The sequence below is a fragment of the Homo sapiens genome, chromosome 4 (assembly GCF_000001405.40).
Source record: "Homo sapiens chromosome 4, GRCh38.p14 Primary Assembly".
Lineage (NCBI taxonomy): Eukaryota > Metazoa > Chordata > Mammalia > Primates > Hominidae > Homo > Homo sapiens.
The window spans coordinates 86,822,233-86,849,869 of record NC_000004.12 but is presented as its reverse complement, the minus strand read 5'-3'; the positions used below and the strand labels follow the sequence as shown (position 1 = coordinate 86,849,869).

Sequence of the window (27,637 nt, the reverse complement as noted above, 5' to 3'; positions counted from 1 at the left end):
TATCTCAAAGTAGACTCTTATCTCCAAAAGCAAGTGAGAGCTCCCTTGAATTATTTTGGGTGAAGGAATTAGTTTTCACATGTTTCATGAGACATAATTAGGTGCCTAATACCATATTATTCTCACAGGTGTTTAATTATTGACTTTAGACACAAATTCTAATAGAACTAGAAGAAAAACTGAGACAAATTCTGAAGCTCCTTGAAATTATTCTTAGTCCCTCCTGACATTTCCTCCACCGGCGTTTTTTTTCTTTTTGCTCTATTTCCAGCAGACACGCTTTGCTAATGCTACAAGGTGTGGCTTTGGCTTTGTTGTTTTTTCCGGAGTTAGCTTTTCTGTCTGTGCATCCTGGCTCTTTGAAATCCCAACTGAATTTGGAGAAATTATTTCTTGGCATCCACCCTACTTTCCAGGGACACAATGTGATGCTGACGACATAGCCCGGTCACTCCACTTGACAACAAGTTTGTTTGTCTCATCTCACATACATATTCAGTGGTGAGTAAGAACAGAAGTGGAAAGCCTTACTTACCACAGTTTATTATATGTTTCATGCCTGTGATAATTACTTTTATAATGCCACTTGTGAAAAAATTGATCAGATTAGGATGAATCACCTTGCTGGCCAACAGTTATTGGAATGATTCTCCATGTGTGACTTCGTTGCACTATTACAAAATGTGGCAGGATAGACCTGCCCAGCCATTGTTGCCGATGTTCATTTGTAATGCTGCCTTAAGGAGATGAGGAGATGAGAGCCAATTGTTCCAGCAGCTCAGCCTGCCCTGCCAACAGTTCAGAGGAGGAGCTGCCAGTGGGACTGGAGGTGCATGGAAACCTGGAGCTCGTTTTCACAGTGGTGTCCACTGTGATGATGGGGCTGCTCATGTTCTCTTTGGGATGTTCCGTGGAGATCCGGAAGCTGTGGTCGCACATCAGGAGACCCTGGGGCATTGCTGTGGGACTGCTCTGCCAGTTTGGGCTCATGCCTTTTACAGCTTATCTCCTGGCCATTAGCTTTTCTCTGAAGCCAGTCCAAGCTATTGCTGTTCTCATCATGGGCTGCTGCCCGGGGGGCACCATCTCTAACATTTTCACCTTCTGGGTTGATGGAGATATGGATCTCAGGTAAGTAACCCCAGGGAAGCTCAGCAGTCTGTCTCTTATCCTGCCTAGGGGGAATAACTGAAACTCTTGTGTTAAACACTCTTCTAATCTTTTGGTAGAGATTCTAGTGGGAAATGTTACAAATATCACAGAGACTTGTTCAGCCATGGGTGGGCTTTCCTTTCAGTGCTCAAAAGTTACTTTGCTGATGATCATTTTCTTTATTGGCTACTGTTCTGAGCAGTGGGATGCGTTCTGAGCAGTGGAGGCAGGTCTGCACCTCACCCAGTGGCCCTTCCTAAGCTTGAGCTCATTCTTACCTACACTGGCCTCTTTAGCAACTCCTAGGACTTAAACCAAGAATCCCAAGAAGCTAACGATTGTGGTTTGGTAGCAGCCGTCGTGGTTGTGTCAGTGGCATAGTCAGAATGAGACTCCCGTAGCTCCAGTCAGTGATGCCTGAGCACCTACTTTAGGAAAGAAGCACTTTAGAGGACTGGATAAAGGAGCTTTAGGGGTGTCTGGTGGCCATATCCAGCTTTAAGTGCTGAGATGGCTTGTCGATTTGACTTCAGGAGCAATGCGAAGGCTCTCAGGACTAAAATTGTTCTTTCTTGTTGCTTTGCAGATCGTTAACATCATCACTAGATTCGCATTCCTTCCCTTTAAGCCAGTGACCTTATTCCCAATTATGGTGTAGATAAATACCTCTGGGAGACATTAAGCCTTGTCCCTTATTTACACTTTAATGAGGATGAATTAGTCACATGCTTTTCTGGATTACATGTTTTGATGGGGGAAAAAAAGAGCATTTGAGGAAAGAGTAGAGGGATAGCACTGGAAAAAGAGCTAAAAACAATGGTCTCTCGAGACTCTTTGCTTACTTGTGAACATGCCGTTTCACTTCCTGCCCTGGGGAAGAACTGCTTATAAATTTAAGTATTTGTTTCATGTGTATGTCATTTAGTTGAGATTCACTTTACCATGAATGAATGAATCAGAGGTAATGACTGAGCTGGGAGTTGACATCAGTGAGAGTCAGCTGCAGGTATGTGTTTCCAGTTTTCCGCTTGTGCTGAATGTTTAGCGTATGGAACATATTTCACCTATAAATTTTAATGGGCTCATACCATGCAGAATAGGAACTAACTTTCCCAAGGCAGTGTTTTTGTTTACCCACTTATGAGAGATTTGAAAAAAAAATAACTTGATGAATTTTGTGTTTTACCTTAATGGTAAAAGCCACTCATATACAAAGCCACTAATATACACTGCTTTTGTGTTTTACCTTAATGGTAAAAGCCATTAATATACATTGCTAATTCAAATTCAGTAAAGTTGATTATTTAACTGGGAAATGATAGATATTCTTTGCATGAAGTTCATAAATCAGAGATAAATTCCAGGACCTAAAAGTTTTTGGAAAGAAAAAGGAAACTAATATTTATTAAGTGCCCCATAGGCATGGGATAGATGCTTTCATGCTTATTTTCTTCTTGGGGCTCATAATAACCTTGTAAATGGCCTTTTATTGTTCTGAATTTTACAGCTGAGAAAATTGTGATTCAGATTGGTTAAGTAGCTTGCCAAATGCTACAAACCAGTATGGCAGAACTCAGATTTGAATTCTCATCTGTTTTACATCAGTCTGCAGTTTAGGCACATTTCCCCCATGGCATTTAGCAACACAACTAGATCTTCTGTTTTGAATAGCAGCATAAATCTTCAGTGTTCTCAAACACTTGTGTTCTGGGAAAGAGAACATTTATTACCTTAATCTCTTATTAGTCAATGTTGTCATAAAAACACCAATGAACAGGAAACCTATGAAAGATAAAGCTACTTTTACTTTCTTTTGCCAACTCTTATCTTTAATTCACCTTTAACTTTGTTCAAATTATTTAACCTATCTAAGCCTTATCTCATCATTGGCAAAATGGGGTTAAATTTACCTATTTCTCACAAGACTGTATATATATGTATATATATGTACACACACTCAAACACACACACACATATATAGATAATAGTTTGGGGTGGAGTTTCACTCTTGTCGCCCAGGCTGGAGTGCAATGGTGCGATCTCGGCTCGCTGCAACCTCCACCTCCTGGGTTCAAGTGATTCTCCTGCCTCAGCCTCCTGAGTAGCTGGGAATACAGGTACCCGTACCCACCACCGTGCCTGGCTAATTTTTGTATTTTTAGTAGAGATGGGGTTTCGCCATGTTGGCCAGGCTGTTCTCAAACTCCTGCCGTCAGGTGATCCTCTTGTCTCGGCCTCCCAAAGTGCTGGGATTACAGGCGTGAGCCACGGCGCCTGGCTGACACAAGACTATATTTATGGAGGAAATATATATTTGTGTGTGTGTGTGTATTCAGAGTGCCAGGTACATAGTAGTTGTGCAATAAATATTAGCTACTTTTCCTCTTTTCTTTCTAAATTTTGATTTTGAGTCTTACCAACAAAACTAAAAAAACAAGCAAAAACTAAATATTAGATTTTTAGAAGCTTATAGGTACAAAAGTAATAAAATCAATTTTCAGTAGAAACTCAAATAGGTGAAAATCAAGTACGGTGTGAAACAATATCTAAGTAATTACATTTCTTCATAATTGAATACCAACAAAAAATCAGTTTTAAGCAAAACTCAGTGGATCGTCATTGATAGGAGTTTTATCTGCTGTTAATGCTGGATAAAATCCAAGAGCGGTTAGCACAACATCTTCATTTGACACACGAGGAAGTGGAGATTTAGCTCCCTGCAGATGACCTTGAGCACGTTTCTCATGCCTTCACTCCTGCTTCATGCAGTGCACTTGCAGTTCTCCATGTGTTCACCCCACACAGGCATTTCAGAATCCATTGGTTGGAACCGGTTTGTGCGTTCTGCAAATGAGATGACTGATGACACCCATCCTCTTGCAGTTGCCTGGGCTTGTCATCTTAGCCTTGCCCTGTGACTACCCTCATTCTCGCCATGGCCACTCAATCCACTGCCAAGCCCTGTAGCCCTTCCTCTTGCTGTGTTGCTCACAGTTCTTGCTTCCTGTTGGTCTCCACTAACACTTCCTCAGGTCAGGCCCTCACAATTTCTTTCTTGGCTAATTGTATTTTCACAACAATGAAAGTGCTGTTCTCTGCACCTTTAGTCTCTCCATTACGGCTTTGCAGTAAGTGGATAAGGCAGGCTCTGATACCAGATTGCCTATATTCAAATCCTGACCTTGGGCCTCTTCTCTGTAACTGGAAATCATAACATTACCCGCATGGTACTGTTAGGAGAAAACGAACATGTTATACATACAAAGGCTTCTCAACACCTACTAAATTGGTAGAAACGACTAAGCCAGTCTACTTTACTTCTCCAGGTTCTTTTATTCCACTAGTCCCCTTAAGAACAATGGTTTTTAGTCAAAATGGGCTGCTCATAGTTCTCTGAGCATATCTCACACTCTTCCAGCTTTCTTTTGCCCATGTTGTTCCCACAGTCTGCAGTGCCAACTGACCTTATTTTGTCTCCTCCAGTCATGATGTTGTTCTTCCTTATAACCATCCTAGAAAGCAGTTGGCTGATATGTATGAAGAGCCTTAAAAATTATCCTGCCTCTGGGCCGAGTTTGGCTGATCATGGCTGGGTTCTTTTACATATTTTGGGGTTGGTTAAATGTAGACTGGTCTTGGGTGGTGATATGGTTTGGCTCTGTGTCCCCACCCAATTCTCATCTCGAATTGTAATTCCCGTGTGTCTAGGGAGGGGCCTGGAATCCCCAAGTGTCAAGGGAGGGAAGTGATCAGGTCATGGGGTTGATTTCCCCCATGCTGTTCTAATGATAGTGAGTGATGGTTTTATAAGTGTTTGGAAGTTCCTCCTTTGTTCTTCTTCTCTCTCTTGCTGCCTTGTGAAGAAGGTCCTTGCTTCCCCTTCACCTTCTGCCATGTTTGTAAGTTTCCTGAGACCTCCCCAACCATGTGGAACTGTGAGTCAATCAAATCCCTTTCCTTTATAAATTACGCAGGCTTGGGTATTTCTTTACAGCAGTGTGAAAATGGACTAATGCAGGTGGCTTCAACCTGGACAACTGGGCTCTCTTACTACATGATCTCTCATTTTCTAGTAGACTAGCCTAGACCTGATTACATGGCAGCAGCAGGGTTCTCAGAAAGGCAAAGCAGAAAAGGTCTTTTGAAGTGTTGGCTTTAAACCAGATCCTCTTCCTTCCACCACATTCCATTGGCCAATGCAGACTGCAAGGCCAGTCCAGCTTCATGGATTAGGAAAGTCGATTTTGCCTCTTGATGGGCTGAACTTCCAAGTCACATTACAGCGGACATGGATAAGGGAGGGGTGAAGAATAGGGGGCATTTTTTTCCCCAATATATCCTACTAGAGATGGACAGAATTCCTACCTTTGAGGGTAGAACATGAAAATTAAGATCTGGCAGTACGGTGTAGTAGTTAAGGGCTCTGGAAACAGCAAGCAGACCCATCACTTACTGACTGGATCATCTCGGCAGATTATGCACATTTTCTATGCTTCAGTTTCCTTACTTCTATTTTTTAATTTTTATTTTGATTTTTTTTGAGACGGAGTCTCGCTCTGTCACCCAGGCTGGAGTGCAGTGGCGTGATCTCGGCTCACTGCAAGCTCTGCCTCCCAGGTTCACACCATTCTCCTGCCTCAGCCTCCCGAGTAGCTGGGACTACAGGCGCCTGCCACCACACCTGGCTGATTTTTTGTATTTTTAGTAGAGATGGGGTTTCGCCATGTTAGCCAGGATGGTCTTGATCTCCTGACCTCATGATCCGCCCACCTCAGCCTCCCAAAGTGCTGGGATTACCGGTGTGAGCCACCGAGCCCGGCCAGTTTCCTCACTTCTAAAATGAGAAGCATTCCTACATCGTGAGCTGTTGAGAGGATTGAATGAGTTAATATTTCTAAAGTGCTTAGAATCTCACTTGGCATAAAATGTGATATGAACTATTATTATTATTATATAAGGCAGGCAAAAGAACATCGTGTCCTGGGTCTGTGTTTTAGTCCCTGCTCAAGGAGCTGCATGCCTAACCCTAACCCTGTATATAATGATATATCATAATATATATGTGTCATGTTTTATCTATTCATCCATCAACGGACAATTGAATTATTTCCACTTTTTGGCAATTGTGAATAATACTGTTGAGTCTCAGCTTTCATTTCCCTTGAGTGTATGCTTAGGAGTGGATCTGAGGTTAAATATTAAGTATTTTGTGACTATAGGAAAAGCAAAGCAAAATATGAAGTCCAAATGTCCCCCTTCCTCTACCGTAGTTTCTCCTGAAACTACTGCCCAGAAATGTTTCTCTTGTCTGTCCCCATAATCCGAATTATGTAACTCTTCCTTATCATCTGTTGGAAAGCATTGCAATAGCTGGGCTACTTGTCTGCCTCACCTACTATATCTGTAAGCTCCTGGAAGGCTTGCTCATCTTTGCTTGCACAGTACCAGCCAGGTAGTGGTAGGCACTCGGTAAACATGAGTGAATGAGTGAATGACAGTTTCCGATTGCCTGTGTGTATTACAAAAACAACCCTCAAAAGAGGTCCAGGCCAGGCGTGGTGGCTCACACCTGTAATCCCAGCACTTTGGGAGGCTGAGATGGGCAGATCACTTGAGGTCAGGAGTTCGAGACCAGCCTGGCCAACATGGCAAAACCCCATCTCTACTAAAAATACAAAATTAGCCAGGTGTGGTGATGCATGCCTGTAATGCCAGCTACTCAGGAGACTGAGGCAGGAGAAATGCTTGGACCCAGGAGGCAGAGGTTGCTGTGAGCCGAGATCACACCACTGCACTCCAGCCTGGGCAAGTGACAGAGCGAGACTCCATCTCAAAAAAAAAAAGAAAGAAAGAAAGAAAGAAAGAAAGAAAGAAAGAAAGAAAGAAAGAAAGAAAGAAAGAAAGAAAGAAAGAAAGAAAGAAAGAAAGAAAAGAGGTGTCCATTTATTGATGCAACTCAGGACAGCTCCCACTGTCTTGTCTTTTCTTTTCTTTTCTTTTCTTTTCTTTTTTTTTTTTTTGAGACAGGGTCTTAGACTCTGTCATCAGACTGGAGTGCAGTGGTACAATCATGGCTCACTGAAGTCTTGGCCTTCTGGGGTCAAGTGATCCTCTCACCTCAGCCTTCTGAGCAGCGCAGCTGGGACTATAGGCATGCGCCATCATACCCAGCTAATTTTTTATTTTTTATTACAGAGATGAGGTCTCACTATGTTGCCCAGGCTGGTCTTGAACTCCTGGGCTCAAGCAATCCTCCCACCTAGGGTTTCCAAAGTGCTGGGATTACAGGTGTGGGCCACTTACGCCTGGCCTCCCACTATCTTTGTTTGAGAACTTTTGATATATACAAGAGGTCCATTCTTCCGTAAGGATGTATTTATGTCCTCAGCTGCAGACAAAGGATTCTGACCACTGGTGGTGTTGGAGCCTGTGGAGCTCAGTGGCCAACTTTGACCTTTGAACTTTAAAGAAGTTCTTAGTCCTTCAGTAGAGAACCTGGAAATAGAACTTCAAATTGTTCAGGTCTATCTGACATGTCTTGGTGGAAAACTGAAGGTCCTTTGCATTTAAGGCTTTGGAGACAGAACGGAGACTGAATTCATGAGACTTCATGCAAGCTTCCATGTCTCTATGTACTTTAATTTCCTTATCTATACAATGAAAATAATACTCACACATAGAGTTATTATGTAGATGAAAAGAGAAAATGTATATAAAAGCATGAGACATAACACCTAGCACATAGTGCTCAATAAATACTCATTATTATTGGAAGGCAGCAGACAAGGGTAACATTTATATTGAGGGATGGAAAATCGGGCCTTACGCTCTATTCTAGGGTCAAATCTGTTGGTATGATCTTATAGCTCACTCCGTGTCCATCTGGTTAGCTGGATAATTTTTTATTTCTTTCAGTCGGAAAGCAAGTGTATACTTTCATAGTTTTGAGGGTCAGAGTTCCTGATTTTATGGGATTTTTGAAATTAAAACAATTTATAATAACTTAATCTCCAATTGCAAAATGTTATTGACACTGCATTTTAATGTAATGTGTATATATGTAATTTCCCTGCTTTAAGGGAGGGTTCAAGACTGACCTGTTTGTCTAGACTTGCTGAATATGTCTCATTATTTTCTGTAATAGTTTGGAGATGATGATGCTATTCTTCTCAATGCAAGTGGAATCTTGTTATACTGAAGTTAGATTTTGCCAAAAATTTTCCTATACATGAAAAGTCAAGAGACTTACTTAGCCACATCCTCTGTTTATGCTACATTGGAATTTCATGGCTAAAAATACAAGGCGTGACTTTCCACTGTACTCACAGGCATTCACTGTGTGCTTTTCCACCTTTGCTGGTATTTGTAACAGTTGGCAGAGCACCAGGATAACCTCTTGCCATCCTTGACCAATATCATGATCACCATGGGCTTGAAAATTGTATAAACATGGAAGCAATCACATAGGTAATCAAGGATATAGAATCAGTCGGATATAAATCTCACTTTGCTTCCCATAATCATGAGTCTTACCTTTCTGCTGTTTGAGCCAAAGCCATTCAGTAGAGAAATGTTGTGCTGGTTCTCCAGAAGTTCAAGAGTAAAGTGATATAATATGGAATTCCATTCAGGACTTAGTAATATGGAGAGTCAAGGAATGTAGCACTATCATAGACTAAGAATTTGGAAAAAACTTTCTAAACAGCCTCTTTGTGGATACAGAGGTTTGAGAGCTGTGGCAAACTGCTTTTTTTCTTTTAAATTGCCTACTAGTCAGGAAGAAATCTTTGCTTAAAGTAAGCATTCTTAATAGGATAAAATAATTTTGGGTTTCATATGGAATAAAATATAAGCAAGAACTGCTAAGACAAGTTTGAAAAGGGAAATTTATGTGGAGGTATTTGCCCTACCATATATGAGAACACTGTAATTAGTCTAGTATTTGTTCAGGAAAAAAGAAAGTTATTTATCAATGAGCTAGAAGAGAATTTCCAGAAAATATTTTGTGTACACTTGGGCATTTAATAAATGATAAAGGTGACACTTCAGTATAGTGGAAAATGGTTTATTTTAGTAGATTATATTGACACACTTGCATCTCAATATATTAATAGAAAAAATGGATTAGTCTCATACCTGTTACCATGCAAAATATAAATTTTAAGTCAGTTGAAAATATAAGCATAAAAGTAAAAAGTAGAAGACAATATTTGAATGCCCTCGGATCAGGGTAGGTCTTTAAGATAAGAAACTCAGAAGCCATTAAAAAAACAGCTCTGACTATATAAATGTTAATTATGGCAAGTCATAAGCAAAGTCAAAGATATACACCATGCTTGGAAAAAATACTTGTATTATTCATGGTAATATGAGCCCTAATTTTAAAAGAACTCCTACAAGTTGAGAAGAAGTCTGACAAGCAAGATTGTTTAGAGAGGAGGACACAGAAGAAGCCACTTGACATGAAAGAAAGCACAACCTGATAGAATCCAGAGTGTCGGCTGGGTGCAGTGGCTCACGCCTGTAATCCCAACACTTTGGGAGGCCAAGGTGGGTGGATCACCTGAGGTCCGGAGTTCGAGACCAGCTTGGCCAACATGGTAAAACCCATCTCTACTAAAAATTAAAAAAAAAAAAAAAATTAGCCTGGTGTGGTGGCGGGTACCTGTAATCCCACCTATTCCAGAGGCTGGGGCAGAGAGAATTGCTTGAACCTGGGAGGCGGAGCTTGCAGTGAGTCAAGATCAGGCCACTGCACTCCAGACTGGGTGACAGAGTGAGCTCCAGCTAAAAAAAAAAAATAAAAAAAAAAAATAAGAGTGTAACAAGAGTGAGATCAATTTTTCAATGCTGGCATGACAATTAGAAGGGACTGATCACATCCGGAGTAGGCAAGATTGTGAAATGTAGCAATCTTTTTGGAAAGTAGTCTGAAAGTATATATTAAAACAAAAAACACAGACTTTTACATAGCAATTCCACCTTGGGAATTCACAGAAAGAAAAGAATCATTTCAAGTGAAGTATGTATGAGAGTGTTTATTATAACATTATTTATAATGGCAAAAAACTAAAAGCAACTGACCTATGGTTAATGAAGTGATTGAAGAAATTATGGCATATTTAGATTATGGCATATTTCGCAGTTCTTTAAAAGAATAAGTTTAAATGTATTGGTCTGAGAGGATGTCTGTGATAGATGAAGTGGGAAAAAAAGCAAACAAGTTGCAGAGTAAGGTATATTATAAGGTTCCTTTTTTTATTTTTAGAGACAGGGCCTCCTTCTGTCCCCAAAGCTGGAGTGTTGTGGTGTGAGCATAGCTCACTGCAGCCTCAAACTCCTGAGCTCAAGCCATCCTCCTGCCTCAGCCTCCCGAGTAGCTGGGACTACAGGTGTGTACCACCACATTCAGCTAATTTTTGTACTTTTTTTTTTTTTTTTTTTGTAGAGACCAGGGTCTCTCTATGTTGCTCAGGCTGTTGTTAAACTCCTGGTCTTAAGCAATCCTCCCAATTCAGCCTCCCAAATTGCTGGAATTACAGGCATGAGGCACTGCACCTGGTCTGATTCCTTTAAAAAGAAAAAATAATGAAAGAAAAAAATCCTATTGATTTAACAAACAATCATGAAATAAATGGACTGCTTAAAAGAAAAATAAAAGAGTAGAAGGATGTACACAAATACTTGCAAGTTATCTAAGTTTGGATTTCTGAAAGGAGCACCAATCAGCTAAATATTTGCTTCTTAAAATTTTACTTGCTTTTGTCTGGGAAGAGCATAATTTTTTTTTTTTTTTTTTTTTTTTGAGACACTGTCACCCAGGCTGGAGTGCAATGGCATGATCTCGGCTCACTGCAACCTCCATCTCCCAGGCTCAAGCAATTCTCCTGCCTCAGCCTCCCGAGTAGCTGGGATTACAGGCGTGTGCCACCATGCCCGGCTAATTTTTGTATTTTTTTTAGAGATGGGGTTTCACCATGTTGGCCAAGCTGGTCTCGAACTCCTGACCTCAGGTAATCTGCACGCCTTGGCCTCCCAAAGTGCTGGGATTACAGGCATGAGCCACCATGCCCTGCTGGGAGAGCATAATTTTATAGAAAGTCTCTTTTTCTGGATTGCTATGGGGCTGTTTACCATTTGAACTAAGTATAAAGGGGTCATTTCAGTAAGATTTTTACCAATGTTCACCTGGAGATACGTGACATATGACGGAGACAGAGAGAATATTTCCATAGCACCAGTGTGTTGACATTGGTTCATTCTTTGATTCATACATTTATTCAGTAAGTATTTAACGAGCTCTTCCAATATGCTGCAGCGTGAGACTATGCCAGGTCTCCTAGAGATGGAGAGGAAAATAGGACCTGGCTGTCATGCCACTCACTCTGGCACAGATGGACAGGTACATAAGTACTTGTGTAGGGTACAGCATGTGTATAATTCATGAGCCAATGTCAATAAAACCATGTCCAGAGGGCCATGGATTCAGAATCCTAGAAGCAGGATCGCTAATTTTCCTAGATATTGCCAGACACCCTCTGTGGTGTACCATTTTTACCAGCAATGAGTGAGAGCACAGAGGGAATCTTTTTAGTATCATTGAAGTAAAACAGATGCTGCTTTGTCAAGAGTATAAACATTCTTCTGGCAGAAAATGTTAAAGTAGTCATAGACGTATTATTTTATAGACAGGGTAATTGGATGGAAGCAATGGTGATATATATTAGGAGGAAGAGTGACAGATGACTTGTAGACCCAATAAAGTGCTGAAGGACCTTCTGTCTATGCAGAAGACCTTGACGTATGAAGGGCCTCCTCCCTCTCCTTTGTAGAGCAGGAGGGCAGTCTGCTTCTCAGTCTGTCAGTCATTTGTGCCTTGAGCACAGAATGAGCACAGTGTCTATAAACAGTTTGTACATGCTTAAACAGATTGTGTAATTTTTTCCAGCAAATTGAAAGATAAAATATTTGACTGGTCTGATGGGTATCTTCTTTCCATTTATTTTCTTTCCCCTAATTTTACTAATGCATTCTTTCACTGGTTCTATCACTCAGGTAGGTACAAAATACAGCCTTAACTTGCGATTTGGGAGTGAGACTGAGATGGAAAGAATAGATTTGGGATGGAAGGCACCAAAAAGTGGGGTAAGGTTGAATATTTCTTCAGTTCTCATCCTCCCTGATTTTTATTGGCTTTTAGCCTTCATTTGGGAGCTTTCTTTTCTTAGCTTTCATGAAATATAACCTCCCAGCTCTCCACTGACTTCTTTTTTAAATTTTATTTTTAATTGACAAGTTAAATTATGTATATTTATGGTGTACAACATGATGTTTTGCTTACTTGCTTCTCAAATCCCAGCCTGCCTGCCTGCCTTCCTTCCTTCCTTCCTTCCTTCCTTCCTTCCTTCCTTCCTTCCTTCCTTCCTTTCTTTTTCTTTCTTTCTTTCTTTCTTTCTTTCTTTCTTTCTTTCTTTCTTTCTTTCTTTCTTTCTCTCTCTCTCTCTCTCTCTCTCTCTACATGCACCATGGGCTCTTCTTCCTCTCCCTGGTTTAGAGCAAAGGAGGCTTTACAATATATAAAATATTAACTATCAGTTAATGTAACTAAGTGCTTTTCCCTAAATAAATTTAGACCAAAAATATATATGGAAAATACAAAAACACAGTATATTATGGCCGGGCGTGGTGGCTCATGCACTTTAGGAGGCCGAGGCGGGTGGATCACCTGAGGTTAGGAGTTCGAGACAGCCTGGCCAACATGGTGAAATCCCATCTCTACTAAAAATACAAAAATTACCTGGGTGTGGTGGTGGGCATCTGTAATCCCAGCTACTCAGGAGGCTGAGGCAGGAGAATCACTTGAACCCAGGAGGTGGAGGTTGCAGTGAGCCGAGATTGCGCCACTGCACTCCAGCCTGGGCGACAGAGTGGGACTCCATTTCAAAAAACAAAACAAAACAAAACCCCAAAAAATCTGCAACAAATTACAAATGTGTGAAGCAGTAACTTAGTTCATATAATGTAATAACAATATAGTAATTGTCTTAGTCCATTTTGTGCTGCTGTACAGGATACCTGAGACTGGTTAATGTATAGAGAAGAGAAATTATTCCCTTACATTCTGGAGGCTGGGAAGTCTAAGATGAAGGTGCTGGCATCTATTGTCTGGTGAGGTCCTTCTTGCTCCTCACGTGGTGGAAGAGAGAAGGGCAAAAAGGAACAAACTTCCTTGGTGGAGTCCTCTTAAAATAGCATTAATTCATTCATGAAGGTGGATTCATTGTGACCTAAACACCTCCCAGAAAGCTCCACCTCTCAATACTGTTGTCTTAGGGATTTGATTTCCAACCTATGAATTTTGGAGGACACATTCAGACCATAGCAGTAATCACGATACACAGTTTTTGAGGACTTCAAACCAAGTACTCTTCCCCCTCTGTCACAGACATTATGTACTTAAAAGTTCTTAAGAACCATTGCGCTTAAAATGTGTTAGCCTTTTGACTTAGAAACAATTAACCTCAATAATAACAGAGATAAACAAACCAGTTTTCCAGTAGAAATCATTCTGGATTTGTTGAACAAAGACCACAACTTCCTTCTGATGGTCTCAGTTGTTTTCCTGGTAAAGCTATGTAGCATGGCTGTTGGTTTTGGTTTGGTTCGTCCGGCTCACAAACCCACATTTCACTTTCCAAGGTGGCCAGAGACAACCCCAGTAATGACACAGATAAACAGACTGATTGTCTTTAGAAATCTTTCCAGGTTTGTTCACCAAAGACTGGATGTCCCACTATCACCTTACTTAACACAACCCCTCTAACTGATGCTAAGTGACTCAGCTTTTTTGTATATCACACCATCATTTTGAAGCCTAGAAATCTTACTTTGTACTCTAACTCATCACTCTACTTCAATCTCAAATCTCAGTCCCTTCCTTTTCTTTTCTTTTCTTTCTCTCTCTCTCTCTCTTTCTTTCTTTCTTTCTTCTCCTTTTCTTTCTTTTCTTCTTTTCTTGTGTCTTTTCGTCTTTCTGTCTTTCTTTTTTTTTGAGATGGAGTTTCACTTTGTTGCCCAGGCTGGAGTGCAGTGGCATGATCGTGGCTCACTGCAACCTCCGCCTCCTGGGTCCAAGTGATTCTCCTGCCTTAGCCTACCAAGTAGCTGGGATTACAGGCACCTGCCACCACACCCAGCTAATTTTTGTATTGTTAGTAGAGACAGGGTTTCACCATGTTGGCCAGGCTGGTCTCGAACTTCTGACCTCAGGTCATCTGCCCGCCTTGGCCTCCCAAAGTGCTGGGATTACAGGCATGAGCCACCATGCTTGGCCCAATCACAGTTTCTAATCATAGGATCACACGATATCAGGATTGGAACAGAATTCTTAATTCAGTCTAGCATCTCACATCAGTTCCCTTTCTCTGTGGTTCTGTACCTTCCCTTGCCCTAACCAACTTGCTCTGTCTGCAGGTCAGCGACTGTGGGGGTCACTGCCCTATCCAATGGGGAGCTTATGGCATGTGGTGTTTGCGTGACTTCTTCCTGACAGATATTTATTAACACTTCATACTGGGCAGGCGTTCAGTCAGCTTTGTGGCATTCTAACTTGCTGATGTGGTTTGGGTGTTTGTCCTCTCCACATCTCATGTTGAAATGTGATTCCAGTATTGGAGGTGGGGCCTGGTGGGAGGCTATTGGATCATGGGGTGGATCTCTCATGAATGGTTAATGCCATCTCCTTGGTGATAAGTGAGTTCTTGCTTAGTTAGTTCACATGAGATCTGGTTGTTTAAAAGTCTGGGACCTCCCCTTTCTCACTCTCCCTTGCTCCCTCTCTGGCCATGTGAGATACCTGCTCCCCCTTCCCCTTTGCCTTCTACCATGATTGCGAACTTCCTGAGGTCCTTACCAGGAGCACATGCTGGAACCATGCTTGTACAGCCTGCAGAACTATGAATCTCCTTTATAAATTACCCAGCCTCAGGTATTTCTTTATGGCCATGCAAACAGCCTAATACACTTCCAATCCCCTTGGTACCAGAACTAGATATCACAAGAAAAGAAAACTGCAGATCAATAGTTCTTATGAATATACATGCAAAAATTTTCAATAAAAATACTATCACACTGAATCTAGCAACATAAAGGATTATACACCATGACCAAATATGATTTATTTCAAAATGCAAGGTTGATTCAATATACAGAAAAATCAATGTGATATACTATATTAATAGAATAAGGACATAAAAAGAATGAAGCTGTGATATATGTTAAAACATGGATAAACCTTGTCTTAGCCCATGTGAGTTGCCATGAAGGAATACCTGAGGGTAGGTAATTTCTAAATAAAACAGGTTTATTTGGCTCGAGGGTCTGCAGGCTGTACACAAGAAGCAAAGTGCCAGCATCTGCATCTGGTGAGGGCCTCATGAAGACCCCACCCATGGTGGAAGGGGAAGAGGAGCAGGCATCACATGGTAAGAGAGGGGAGGGAGGTGTCAGACTCTTTTTAACAACTAGAGCTCATAAGAACTGAGTGAGAACTCAGTGAATCCCACGAGAATGGCACCAGCCTGTTCATGAGGGATCTGCCCCTGTGACCGAAATATTTCCCACTTGCCCCCGCCTCCAACGTTGGGAATCAAATTTCAACATGAGAGTTGGAGAGGACAAACAGCCAAACTATTATCAAACGTCGAAAATGTTATGCTAAGGGAAAGAAGCTAGACACAGAAAAAAGGCTGCATGTATGATTCTGTTGATATGAAATGTCCAGAACAGGTAATCCTATAAAGACGGAAAGTAGATTTGTGCTTGCTAAGGGCTAGGGGAAGGAGGGATTGGGGAGTGACTGCTAATGGGGATGGGGTTTCTTTCTGGGGTGATGAAACTATCCTGGAAATGGTGCTATTATTGCATAATGTTGTGACTATACTAAAAACTGCTGAATTGTATAATTTAAAATGATGAATTTTATGGCTTGTGGATTATACTTCAATAAAAAAGAACTAGATAAGAAAATAATTCTATAGTGCCTAGCAGAATTTTAAGGCAAGTAGATAGTAAAATAAATATGAGGTAATTGATGGATGACAAGAACTACTGGAAATCTCTTTGTAGACCAGAAATATAGCCATCGTTTGTTAAACAACGGGAGAGAAATGAGCTCCAAGGAGCTTAGTCCATGTAATCTCTAGGAAATTGTGTCCTAGGAGTTGCTTTTGGTAAAGACTAAATTCTTCATGTCCAATGCTCCCTCCTAAGCATTGTATTAATTTTACTTTCAGCATCAGTATGACAACCTGTTCCACCGTGGCCGCCCTGGGAATGATGCCACTCTGCATTTATCTCTACACCTGGTCCTGGAGTCTTCAGCAGAATCTCACCATTCCTTATCAGAACATAGGTCTGTATGGGCCTGGGAAATGGAGGACTAACAGTAATGGTGATGATACTAATAATAGCTGTTCTTAATTATATAACTCTTTATGCAGGGATTTTTTTGGTAGTACTTAATTTAATCCCTTAAAGAACCCTACAGTATAGATTCTGTTACCAGTTCAGTCTCCTAGGTCTTCAGGCTTCAAGAGGTTTAGTAACTTGATCAAGATTATGCAGCTGGTAAGTACGGAACTGGAGTTCTAACCCGGGAATCTGACTACAAAGTGCAAACTTTCATCCCTATAAGAGTGCATTTTTGAAAAAAAAAGAAAGCCAGATAATTTACTTTGAAAAAGCAGGAATCAAACCCTTATGTAATTAGACTATAAAGCAATTGGACTCTTTATACTCCAAGGTTTAACTGGATCTAGTGGCTCTAATTAGACCTTCCTGTGACTTCACCTTTCACATTGCCTGCGAACCTTGACTTTTTCTTGGAGGTTGAATGTAAATAATTCTTACTGATTATGAAAACTCATCTACATGTCACAGTCTCACCCATATCTCTTTCATTATCTCCTCTTCTGAATATTATTTCTCATGAAAGTCTGCCATTTTCCTAAAGATCTCTGTGGGTTTAGCAAGCTTAGAAGAGAAATGTGGTGAAATGATCTGCCTTTTCTAGTGTGGTCAGTTTTTGAAAAAGTGATAGGCACTATGTTTTTTTGTTTTTTTTTTTTGAGACAGAGTTTTGCTCTGTCACTCAGGCTGGAGTGCAGTCGTGCAATCTCGGCTCACTGCAACTTCTGCCTTCTCCTGCCTCAGCCTTCCGAGTAGCTGGTACTACAGGTGCAGGCCACCACACCCGGCTAATTTTTTTGGTATTTTAGGAGAGACAGGGTTTCACCGTGTTGCCCAGGCTGGTCTCAAACTCCTGAGCTCAGGCAGTCCACCCACCTTGGCCTCCCAAAGTGCTAGGATTACAGGTGTAAGCCACCGTGCCTGGCCAACACTATGATTCTTAAGACTCTCAGTGTCAATCTGGTGTCTCAGGTAAACACCTTGAAGGCTTACAACCCATGGCCCATAGTTCAAAACCATGAATGAACCCACTTCCTCACAATAGCGGGAGCCCACTGAATCTGTAAAATTTGAGGGAAACCTTAATTTAGAAACCATGATTTTATGTGCAACTTTTTTTCTGATCAGTAAGTTATTTAATATATTCTGCTTTGATAATATGTTCTGAAAGGCACTCACAAGACGCAAAATGTTATGAGCAGCTTATATAACTTTGGAGCCAATATTGTAGGCATTTATCCAGACTTGGGAAGTGGCATGGGAAAATGTCAGTTTAAAGCTGTTACCTAATTGAAATAGAAGTTGTTGGGAAGTACTGTGCAGTCAGGGTGAGAGGGAAAACCCTCTCATGGATTTTTCTTCTCTTTAGGAATTACCCTTGTGTGCCTGACCATTCCTGTGGCCTTTGGTGTCTATGTGAATTACAGATGGCCAAAACAATCCAAAATCATTCTCAAGGTGAGTGACTTCATGGCCACTGTTGGCACGTCCTCAGACTCAGGGGCCTGAAAGACAGAAGTGAGCAGTGGCTGGGACAAGTGAGCTTGTTGAGTACGGCCCCACACCCAGAAATTCTTCTTACACATCCTGTGGTTTTGGATCCAGGGATCATATTTCCTCCACCCTGTAAGCCTTGCTTTGCCACTCCCATAGTTCTGTACCCTGAGGCTTATGACGCCCTGGAAAATAAGCAACTATTGATTTAGTGTCAGGAAAGCTAAAGCCTGTGTGTGGACAGAAGAGCCCAGGCCCATCCATAAACAAGGCTTCACACAGGTGCTCTTGAGGCAGAAGCTGTTCAAGTGAGCATGAAAGGGAACCCCAGTGTTTAGTAATATGGCTGGTTTCTTGGAAGAGTAGGAGGAAGGGCTGTCTTGCAGAAGCATTCCTGGGGTCACGGCCAAAGCTGTTGTTTGTACACATGAGCAAGGGCTGCTGACTACATGAATAAGACTGTTTAAATGAAATCATCCAGGAAGCACTGAGGAGTCTAGCTATGGAATGATGGTGACTAGAACTTTCTACCTCCTCTTGTCTTTGCAGTCCTGCCCTTTGTCTGCTGGAGAAACAAGCAAATGTCTTTGTTAAATGGCTTTTAAAAATAATTCAAGAGGCCAGGTGCAGTGGCTCACATCTGTAATCCCAGAACTTTGGCAGGCTGAGGTGGGAGGATTGCTTGAGGCCAGGAGGTTGAGGCTACAGTGAGCCATTATCATGCCATTGCACTGGAGCCTGGATCACAGAGTGAGACCCCATCTCTAAAAAATGAAACAAAACAACAAAACGTAAAGAGGAGGCATTCTTAACAATGGTGTGAGTCTCCTAGGGTGCTTTCCATTTTTTTTCTGATTATGTATCACTTTAGCAGATAGAAGGTTGTAATATGTGTGGCTTTCATGAAGATTTTAAAAATGTTTCAGTTATATTTTACATTTATAAAGAAGTAAACATTTGGGGTTATTTAGAGTTTCATGTAGTAAATCTCAGTTAATTTTGTTTTCTGGTTTATGGTTTGGCTTGGTTTAAGCTTTTGCCGTTTGGCTCTACCTCACAGAACATTGCCACTCTATATGCCTGTGCTAATGGACACTGTTTTCCCAGTTATGCACAAGGCCAAACCATTCCCACCATTCCTTCAGTGCGATGGAGAATGAGAGGAGAGGGCTTGCCAAGCAGAAAATCAGCTGGGCACAGAGAGCTGGAGGATGGCTTAGTATAGTACATTTGTATTGCATATGGATGACTTTAACATCAATAGTGCACACCTGATTTTCACTCTCCTTTTTTAGCTGTACTCATGGAATAAAGTCCCATCTTTTCCACATTTATTTTTAAAAATTAATTAAGTTTTTGAGATAGGGTCTCGCTCTGTCACTCAGGCTGGAGTGCAATGACACGATCATAGCTCACTGCAACCTTGATCTCCTAGGCTCAAATGATGCTCCCATCTCAAGCTCTGAGGTAGCTAGCACTACAGGCATGCACCATCCTGCCCTGCTAATAAAAAGATTTTTTTTTTAGAGACAGGGTCTTGCTATGTTACCCAGGCTGGTTTGCAACTCCTGGCCTCAAGGGATCCTCTGGCCTTGGCCTCCCAAAGTGTTGGGATCACAGGCATGAGCCACTGTGCCTGGCCCCTTTTCCACATTTATTATTGTTATTTCAGTAGGAGAAAATTTCCAGTGTGGTAGTTATGATTTTGTTTACAAAACAAGAGGAGGGAAATGATCATGGAAACTTCTTGCTTTTCAAGTACTCTATCTTTGATTATTTTTCTTAAAAGGGCATTTAACAACAATAACAAAAATAATGCTTTTGGAGTTTTCCAGCTCCTCTATCAGTCCATCAGTGTCAATGGAGAAACCAGATACATTTTTTTACATGTCAGTTTTATTTTCTGTAACGAGCAAATTTAAAACTCTTTTCTTTTGGGTATTTCATAGGATTTATGGCAAAACATTTAATAATATGCATAAATATTCTAGACTACCTTAGTAAAAAAAAAAAACTAGGCTAATGTAATCATTATTTTAGTATATCTTCATTCCCTGTTCTTAGTTCCATTTTAATTTTAGATCTGACACATTTTCTGAACAAACTTAAGTGTTCCCCATTTGCTCTTGGTGGATATTAAACTTTGAAATCTTTGGTAGAGAGAGGAAGAGGGGATGTTACATTCAGAGGCCTTAGTTCCATTTTAATTTTAGATCTGACACATTTTCTGAACAAACTTAAGTGTTCCCCATTTGCTCTTGGTGGATATTAAACTTTGAAATCTTTGGTAGAGAGAGGAAGAGGGGATGTTACATTCAGAGGCTTTCTTTCTTTCATTTTTTTTTTAAACGGAGTCTTGCTCTGTCACCCAGGCTGGAGTGCAGTGGCGCAATCTTGGCTCACTGCAACCTCCACCTCCTGGGTTCAAGTAATTCTCCTGCCTCAGCCTCTTGAGTAGCTGGGATTACAGGCATGTGTCACCACGCCTGGCTAATTTTTGTATTTTTTAGTAGAGACAGGATTTTGCCATGTTGGCTGGATGGTCTTGAACTCCTGACCTCAGGTGATCCGCCCACCTCTGCCTCCCAAAGTTCTGGGATTACAGACATGAGCCACCATGCCTGACCAAGAGGCTTTCTTGTCTTAGCATCTTTTTCTTAGGCAGGGGTCTAGTCTGTCTCTGTATTTGAACAGTAAAAATGACCCCCAGAACACATTTATGGTATATTGGGTCATTCTGTTTGTTTGTTGTCTTCTCTAGTTTCCTACGACCATCCTCCTTCACATCCTGAATCATTTCAAATCAAGGTTGACACTGTAACTAGGTACACAGTTTACTGTCTACATGATATGAACAGGAGCTTGCCAAGATCCTGATTTTCCCAAAATACCCTAGGTTATGCTTTCTTCCTATTTTATCTAAATCTCAAACTATTCAAAATTTTGTTATTGTTGGCTTTTGTTTCTGTTCTTGTTAAACAACAAAAGTAAGGACAGTATCCATTTGGGAGAGGATAGAGGTCTCCATCAGTATTTCTCATGTGATCATGAGTATTAGCTCAGATTGTCCAATGAAGAATGGGTAAATTTTATTTGGAGGGGAGAAGGACAGGGATCAAAGCAGCAGGCAGCTGCTGGTGGTTGAAGGGGCGGTGGGAGGGGAGGCAGATGGTCAGGCAGGGCAGACGTCAGACTGGAGGTCACAAGCAGAGGGTCATAGAGGTGTGTGCAGGGGTGTTGGAAGCTCATTGTCAGATTCCATTCATTTTACACTTTTGTTCTACCCACAATAGAACTCTACTACCCAATCCTTTTGGCAAAATCTTCTACTTGAAGAGAAAGGTAGATATGCTAAAGCGAGACTTAGATTTGTGTCAAACTCCACCAATTTCTAGCATAGGCAAGTTACTTGACCACTTTGGAACTCAGATTTCTCCTCTACTAAATGAAATTGTATTTAGTCATCTCTAAGTCCCTTCTTTGTTCTAAAATTTCTAGATCCCAAGCATTTTACAACCTTGATGGACTTTGTATCATAGAGCAAAAAACCCTGAGTTTATATTCACTTATTTTATTGTTTGCTTCAGATTGGGGCCGTTGTTGGTGGGGTCCTCCTTCTGGTGGTCGCAGTTGCTGGTGTGGTCCTGGCGAAAGGATCTTGGAATTCAGACATCACCCTTCTGACCATCAGTTTCATCTTTCCTTTGATTGGCCATGTCACGGGTTTTCTGCTGGCACTTTTTACCCACCAGTCTTGGCAAAGGTATAGTTAAACTATCCATAAACTTTTTTGAGGAAGGTAAATTTAACACACTGCCACTGGTAGGCTTTGCTGCCTGTGTCAGGAGACATGAAGAGTTTTGACTTACATAGTGGAATCGACAGGATAACTAAGCATAAAAGAGGGTCATTCATGGCAATTCATGGAAAATATTGTGGTAATTCTTTATGTAAATTAAAGCAAAGGCCAAATTGATAGGAAGAGATAAATTTAAGTTAAAAAAGAATAGAAAACGACATGATTTGATTCCCACTTCGTAGAAGAAAGCAAAAAGAATTCTATGCATCAAAATATACTGGAAGAAATACACCATATGGTAACAATGTTTAATTTTGAGTAGCGAAATTAAGGATAATTTTAGTTCTTTAGTATTTCCTTGGTATATTTTTGAAGCTTTTCAATAAGTATGTACTACTTTTAAAAGCAGAAAAAAATTACTAAAGAAGAGTAAACTATGCAGTTGAATTCCAAAGGTGAAAGTTGGGAATTTTTAATTGGCTTTATGCTACTTCTAATCCACTTGGGGAACATTTAGGGTTGTACTAAGCGCCCGGTAAAGCTTTACCCCATCTATCTCATTTACTTCTTACTACAAGCTTGAGAAGTAGATCCTATCACTACCCTCATTCTACTGATGAGCAGACCCTTCAGAGAAATTAAGTGACTTGACCAAGTTCATAGAGCTAGAAAATTGTGGAGTTAGGATTTGGACCTGGGTTTGTTTCCAAATTTAACAATTAGGAACACAGTCTGTTGAGTGGTTGAAATGCAATTGGCTCTGGACAGAAAGTACTCCTATGGCAAGATGTAGTCCACAATCCCATCTTTTTCATACCTGATAGCCTGACAAAGCCCAGGACTGAGATTTGGCTCATGAATGGTGCAGGTGTGAGTTCCAGCTTTGTAGCTTAATCATATCGAGTTTTTGACAAAAGTCTCAAAGAAGTGAGGGTGGTTTGAGACAAGTGTAGCAAGCAATAGAATAAGTAGAAATAACGTATGAACACAGAGCTTGCCCTGTACCATTGACAGCATTTTCACCCCCTCATTACACACCCTTGTTACTTCCCCATTCCAGTCCAGCTTGCACAGAGGTGCTTGTTTGTTTTCTGAAACACCTCTTTTATCTCCTCACTTCCACATATAAAACACTGCAGGCTCCCTTTATAAACTGGAGACGTGAAACTGCTTAACTCAGCCCTCAACATCCTGCCCAGGTCTTCCCTCTATTCCCTCCTTTGTCTTTTCAAATGAGGTTTACTTCATTTTATGCAACCAGAAAACCAATAAAGTATAGAAAAGTAGAAAGCAAAAAGAAAAATTATTACCAAACTCTTTCACCAAAGATAATCATTTTAGGAATTTGGTCTTTATTCAGGGTTTTTGTGTTTTTATTTATTTATTTATTTATTTATTTATTTATTTATTGAGACCTCGTTGCCCAGGCTGGAGTGCAACCTCTGCCTCCTGGATTCAAGTGATTCTCGTGCCTCAGCCTCCCGAGTAGCTGGGATTACAGGAGCGTGTGCCACCACGCCAGGCTAATTTTTGTATTTTTGGTAGGGACAGGGTTTCACCATGTTGGCCAGGCTGGTCTCGAACTCCTGACCTCAGGTGATCCACCCACCTTGGTCTCTCAAAGTGCTGAGATTACAGGCGTGAGCCACTGTGCCTGGCCTTGTTTATTTGTTTTTAAGTGTTGGTTAGTTTATATTGTTTCATATGTCTTTCAAAAATATATATACGTTTTTCTTTTTGTAGAGACAGGGTCTTACTCTGTTGCCCAGGGTGGTCTTGAATTCCTGGCTCAAGCAATCTTCCCGCTTCTGCCTCTCAGTGCTGGGATTCCAGGCATGAGCCACCATGTCCTGCATCATATCTCTAACTCAACTTTCCATTCTTGTCTCCTCCAGTCCTCTCCTCTCTGCAGATTGGCTTACAGTATATGCAATGCCTGCTGAACAGGCCACACTCACACCTCTCCCTGGAACTTTAATTTTTATAATATTTCCCCCTCATCAAAAGCTTCTTCTATTTTTTTCCATCCTTAAATCCCACTCCTCTGTGAAGCCTTCTCTCACCCCTTCTGCCATTTTCTAAATTTCTACATCTGCGTGGCCTTTGGCCATACTTTGTCTTGTGTTGTTGCTGAACCTCTCCTGTGTGTTTATCTTGTCTTTTTACTCAGATGCCTAGGGCAGGGTTTGCAAAGCCTCACTCCACCGTGCCTCTCAGAAGACCACCTGCAGAATAGGCACTCAGCAAATAACTATGGAATGAGTACACATTTTCAGTGGCCTGAGGTCATAGCTTCTAATTGTTATGATGCATATGAGAAAATATTAGAATAGTTCTTATTGCTAGTGCGTTACTCTTGAAACATTTTCTTTTTGGTAGGTGCAGGACAATTTCCTTAGAAACTGGAGCTCAGAATATTCAGATGTGCATCACCATGCTCCAGTTATCTTTCACTGCTGAGCACTTGGTCCAGATGTTGAGTTTCCCACTGGCCTATGGACTCTTCCAGCTGATAGATGGATTTCTTATTGTTGCAGGTGGGTGAACACCCATTGGGTAGGAAATAACTGACGGGAAATTGTTCACCCCAACTTACCAACTTTTTTTTCAATCCAAACTTGCATGTGCTGCCCCTGTGATACACTTTTTGAAAGCCTGACATTTCTGGGGACGATAAGGCACATAGACAGGATAGTTTGGCGCACAAGTGGGAGTTTCACAGAAAAATATAAAAAGCCATCTGAAAATGAGCTTATAATTATAAACAAATATACTTCACAAAAGTGAATCCACTATCAGAACTTAGACTTCGTAACTTGTTAAGACAAGATCTCTATGAGCAATCATTGAGCTCCAAAGTGACATTTGCTGCACTTAAGCGTTGATTTGTTAGGTCTCATTAAAAGCCTTGAGGTCTCCCAAATGCCAAGTTATTTCAATGTTTCTGTGACTAAGACTTGTGCTGAATGGCTGTGAAATGTTTTTCAAATATTAAATATTACACATATACAAATATTGAAATATATATGTGTATGCACATGTGATTGCAGCCAAATATACATTACTTTGGAGTCTTTTATTATGTTTGTTCACAGAGGGTAAATTTAAAAATATATATAATGCAAGAACAGAAAACCAAATACCTCACTTACAAGTGGGAGCTAAACATTGGGTGCTCATGGACATAAAGATGGCAATAATAGAAACTGGGGACTACTAGAAGAGGGAGGGAGGGGGCGAAGGTTGAAAAACAAACTGTTGGGTACTGTGCTCACTACCTGCGTGATAAGATCATTTGTTTCCCAAACTTCAGCATCACACAATATACCCAGGAAACAAACATGCACATGGATCTAAAAGTCGAAAAAGAAAAAAAAAAATATATATGTTCACATACACATATATATTTTAATCTTGGGCCATGGTAAATTTTTGCTGCTGTTAGGGAATTGGGTCTGAGTAAGACTCAATGATTACTGATAGAACTGATTATATACTGATTGCTGATTGTTATTATTATATACTGATTACAGATATAACAATCAATATAACAATATCAGGAATACCTGGGGCTTAATTTCCCCAACAGATAAGATAAATCCTATTAGAGTCAAACTCTTGGTCTCAGACCCAAGTTTTCTTTCCTTCTCATGGAGAGACTGAAGCAAGCATCATTTCTGGCTCATTCCCAGCTCTAGCCCAGAACCCAGGAGAGTGTCCTACTTCTAGTAAGCACTCGCAGTATTTGCCAGCTGACTAGCTGAATGAGTGAATGAATGAATGAATGAATGAATGAATATATGAGTGTGTAAGCTGTCAGCAACCTGATGAATGAGCCTCAATCACAAATGGTTCATCCAGACAAAAGAGCCATTCTGATACACTGAATCCTTCTGTTCTATAGCTTTCTCTCTTTCCCCCTTCTTTTCCCTGGGTGTTTATACATACATGATGCCACTGAAACAAACACCTGAAGGATTGACAAGTGTACAGTGTCACCAAATTAGACTCTTTGTTAAAGTGATTGTTAATACTTGTATGTTTTAACACCTAGCATATCAGACGTACAAGAGGAGATTGAAGAACAAACATGGAAAAAAGAACTCAGGTTGCACAGAAGTCTGCCATACGAGGAAATCGACTTCTTCCAGAGAGACCAATGCCTTCTTGGAGGTGAATGAAGAAGGTGCCATCACTCCTGGGCCACCAGGGCCAATGGATTGCCACAGGGCTCTCGAGCCAGTTGGCCACATCACTTCATGTGAATAGCAGGGACTAGCTGGCTGGACTGGCCCCCTTCTTTTTCAGTGGCCAGTAAAGACAGTGTGCAGCTGACACATGAATCTTGTTGGTAGGGCCAGTGTGAATATTTAAGTGTTCAATGTTAGAATATTTATATTTTCATGTGGATTGTGAATTGTGATGGGATCACTTTTGGAGATTCCCATTTCAGGGAGTTTCTTCTGGGGGTTAACATAACGTATCAATGAGCTGCCTTGTATGTTCTTGTCTTCCCATGCAGCAAATAGTACCTGGCAGTAGGTAAAATCCTTCATTAGGGGAACTTATCCTTATGTTGTGGATTTTTTTTTTTTGAGACAGAGTCTTGCTCTGTTGCCCAGGCTGGAGTGCAGTGGCACAATCTCGGCTCACCACAACCTCCGCCTCCTGGGTTCAAGTGATTCCCTTGCCTCAGCCTCCCAAGTAGCTGGGATCACAGGTGTGTGCCACCATGCCTGGCTAATATTTTGTATTTTAGTAGAGATGGGGTTTCACCATGTTGGCCAGTCTGGTTTCGAACTCCTGGTCTCAAGTGATCTGCCCGCCTCAGCCTCCCAAAGTGCTGGGATTACAGGCATGAGCCACTGCGCCCAGCCACGTTGTGGATTTTAATTGAACAAGAGTTAGAACTCTAAGTAGAGGAGATGTCACCTCATACTGCAGGGTGACGCAGACCTATGTGACTTCTTGACTCTGGGCAGGTCCTCAGGTGCACTGAGAGGAGAACAAATAGCTCTTATAATAAATGGGGCAGTTTTCTCAAATGATTATTATTTTTAAGAAATTGAAAATCATTTTGATTATAGATGTAACACAAGCTTGGAAAGAATTTAAAACACACATACGGTTAAAAATGGAATGCCCTGTATTTTCACTTTCTAAAGATTGACACATGGTTGGGCACAGTGGCTCATGCCTGTAATCCCAGCACTTTGGGAGGCTGAGGTGGGCAGATCACCTGAGGTCAGGAGTTCAAGACCAGTCTGGCCAACATGGTGAAACCCCATCTCTACTAAAAATACAAAAATTAGCCAGTCATGGTGGCATGCACCTGTAATCCCAGCTACTTGGGAGGCTGTGGCAGAAGAATCACTTGAACCCAGGAGGCAGAGGTTGCAGTGAGCTGAGATCACGCCACTGCGCTCCAGCCTGGGTGACAGAGTAAGACTCTGACTCAAAAAAAAAAAGAAAGACCCATGTGTATCCTTCTAAGCTGTGTATGTAAACTGTATCATTTTAAGAACCTTGAGATCATTCCATATATTGTTTTGTAAGTCACTTGATGACACATTATGGAACATCTTTGAGTGTCAGTCTGTGTTGACCTACCTCATTCTTTAGTATAGTAGTGATGTGGAAGTATTCTATTGTGTGGAAGGACTGTAATTTATTTAACCACTCCTTATTCATGGACACTTAGATAGCTTTCAGCTTAACAGTATT

The 27,637-nt window shown here is 41.0% G+C and overlaps 1 protein-coding gene across 1 annotated transcript; it reads left to right on the top strand.

Moving 5' to 3' along the window:
- Window positions 1-485: 485 nt before the first annotated feature.
- SLC10A6 (solute carrier family 10 member 6) lies at window positions 486-26,402 on the top strand. Its single transcript, NM_197965.3, has 6 exons — window positions 486-1,131; window positions 16,446-16,564; window positions 17,990-18,078; window positions 21,702-21,877; window positions 24,293-24,450; window positions 25,968-26,402. Exons 1-6 carry the CDS (start codon window positions 755-757, stop codon window positions 26,180-26,182), a joined length of 1,134 nt encoding a protein of 377 aa, NP_932069.1. The 5' UTR covers window positions 486-754; the 3' UTR covers window positions 26,183-26,402.
- The last annotated feature ends 1,235 nt before the right edge of the window (window positions 26,403-27,637 follow it).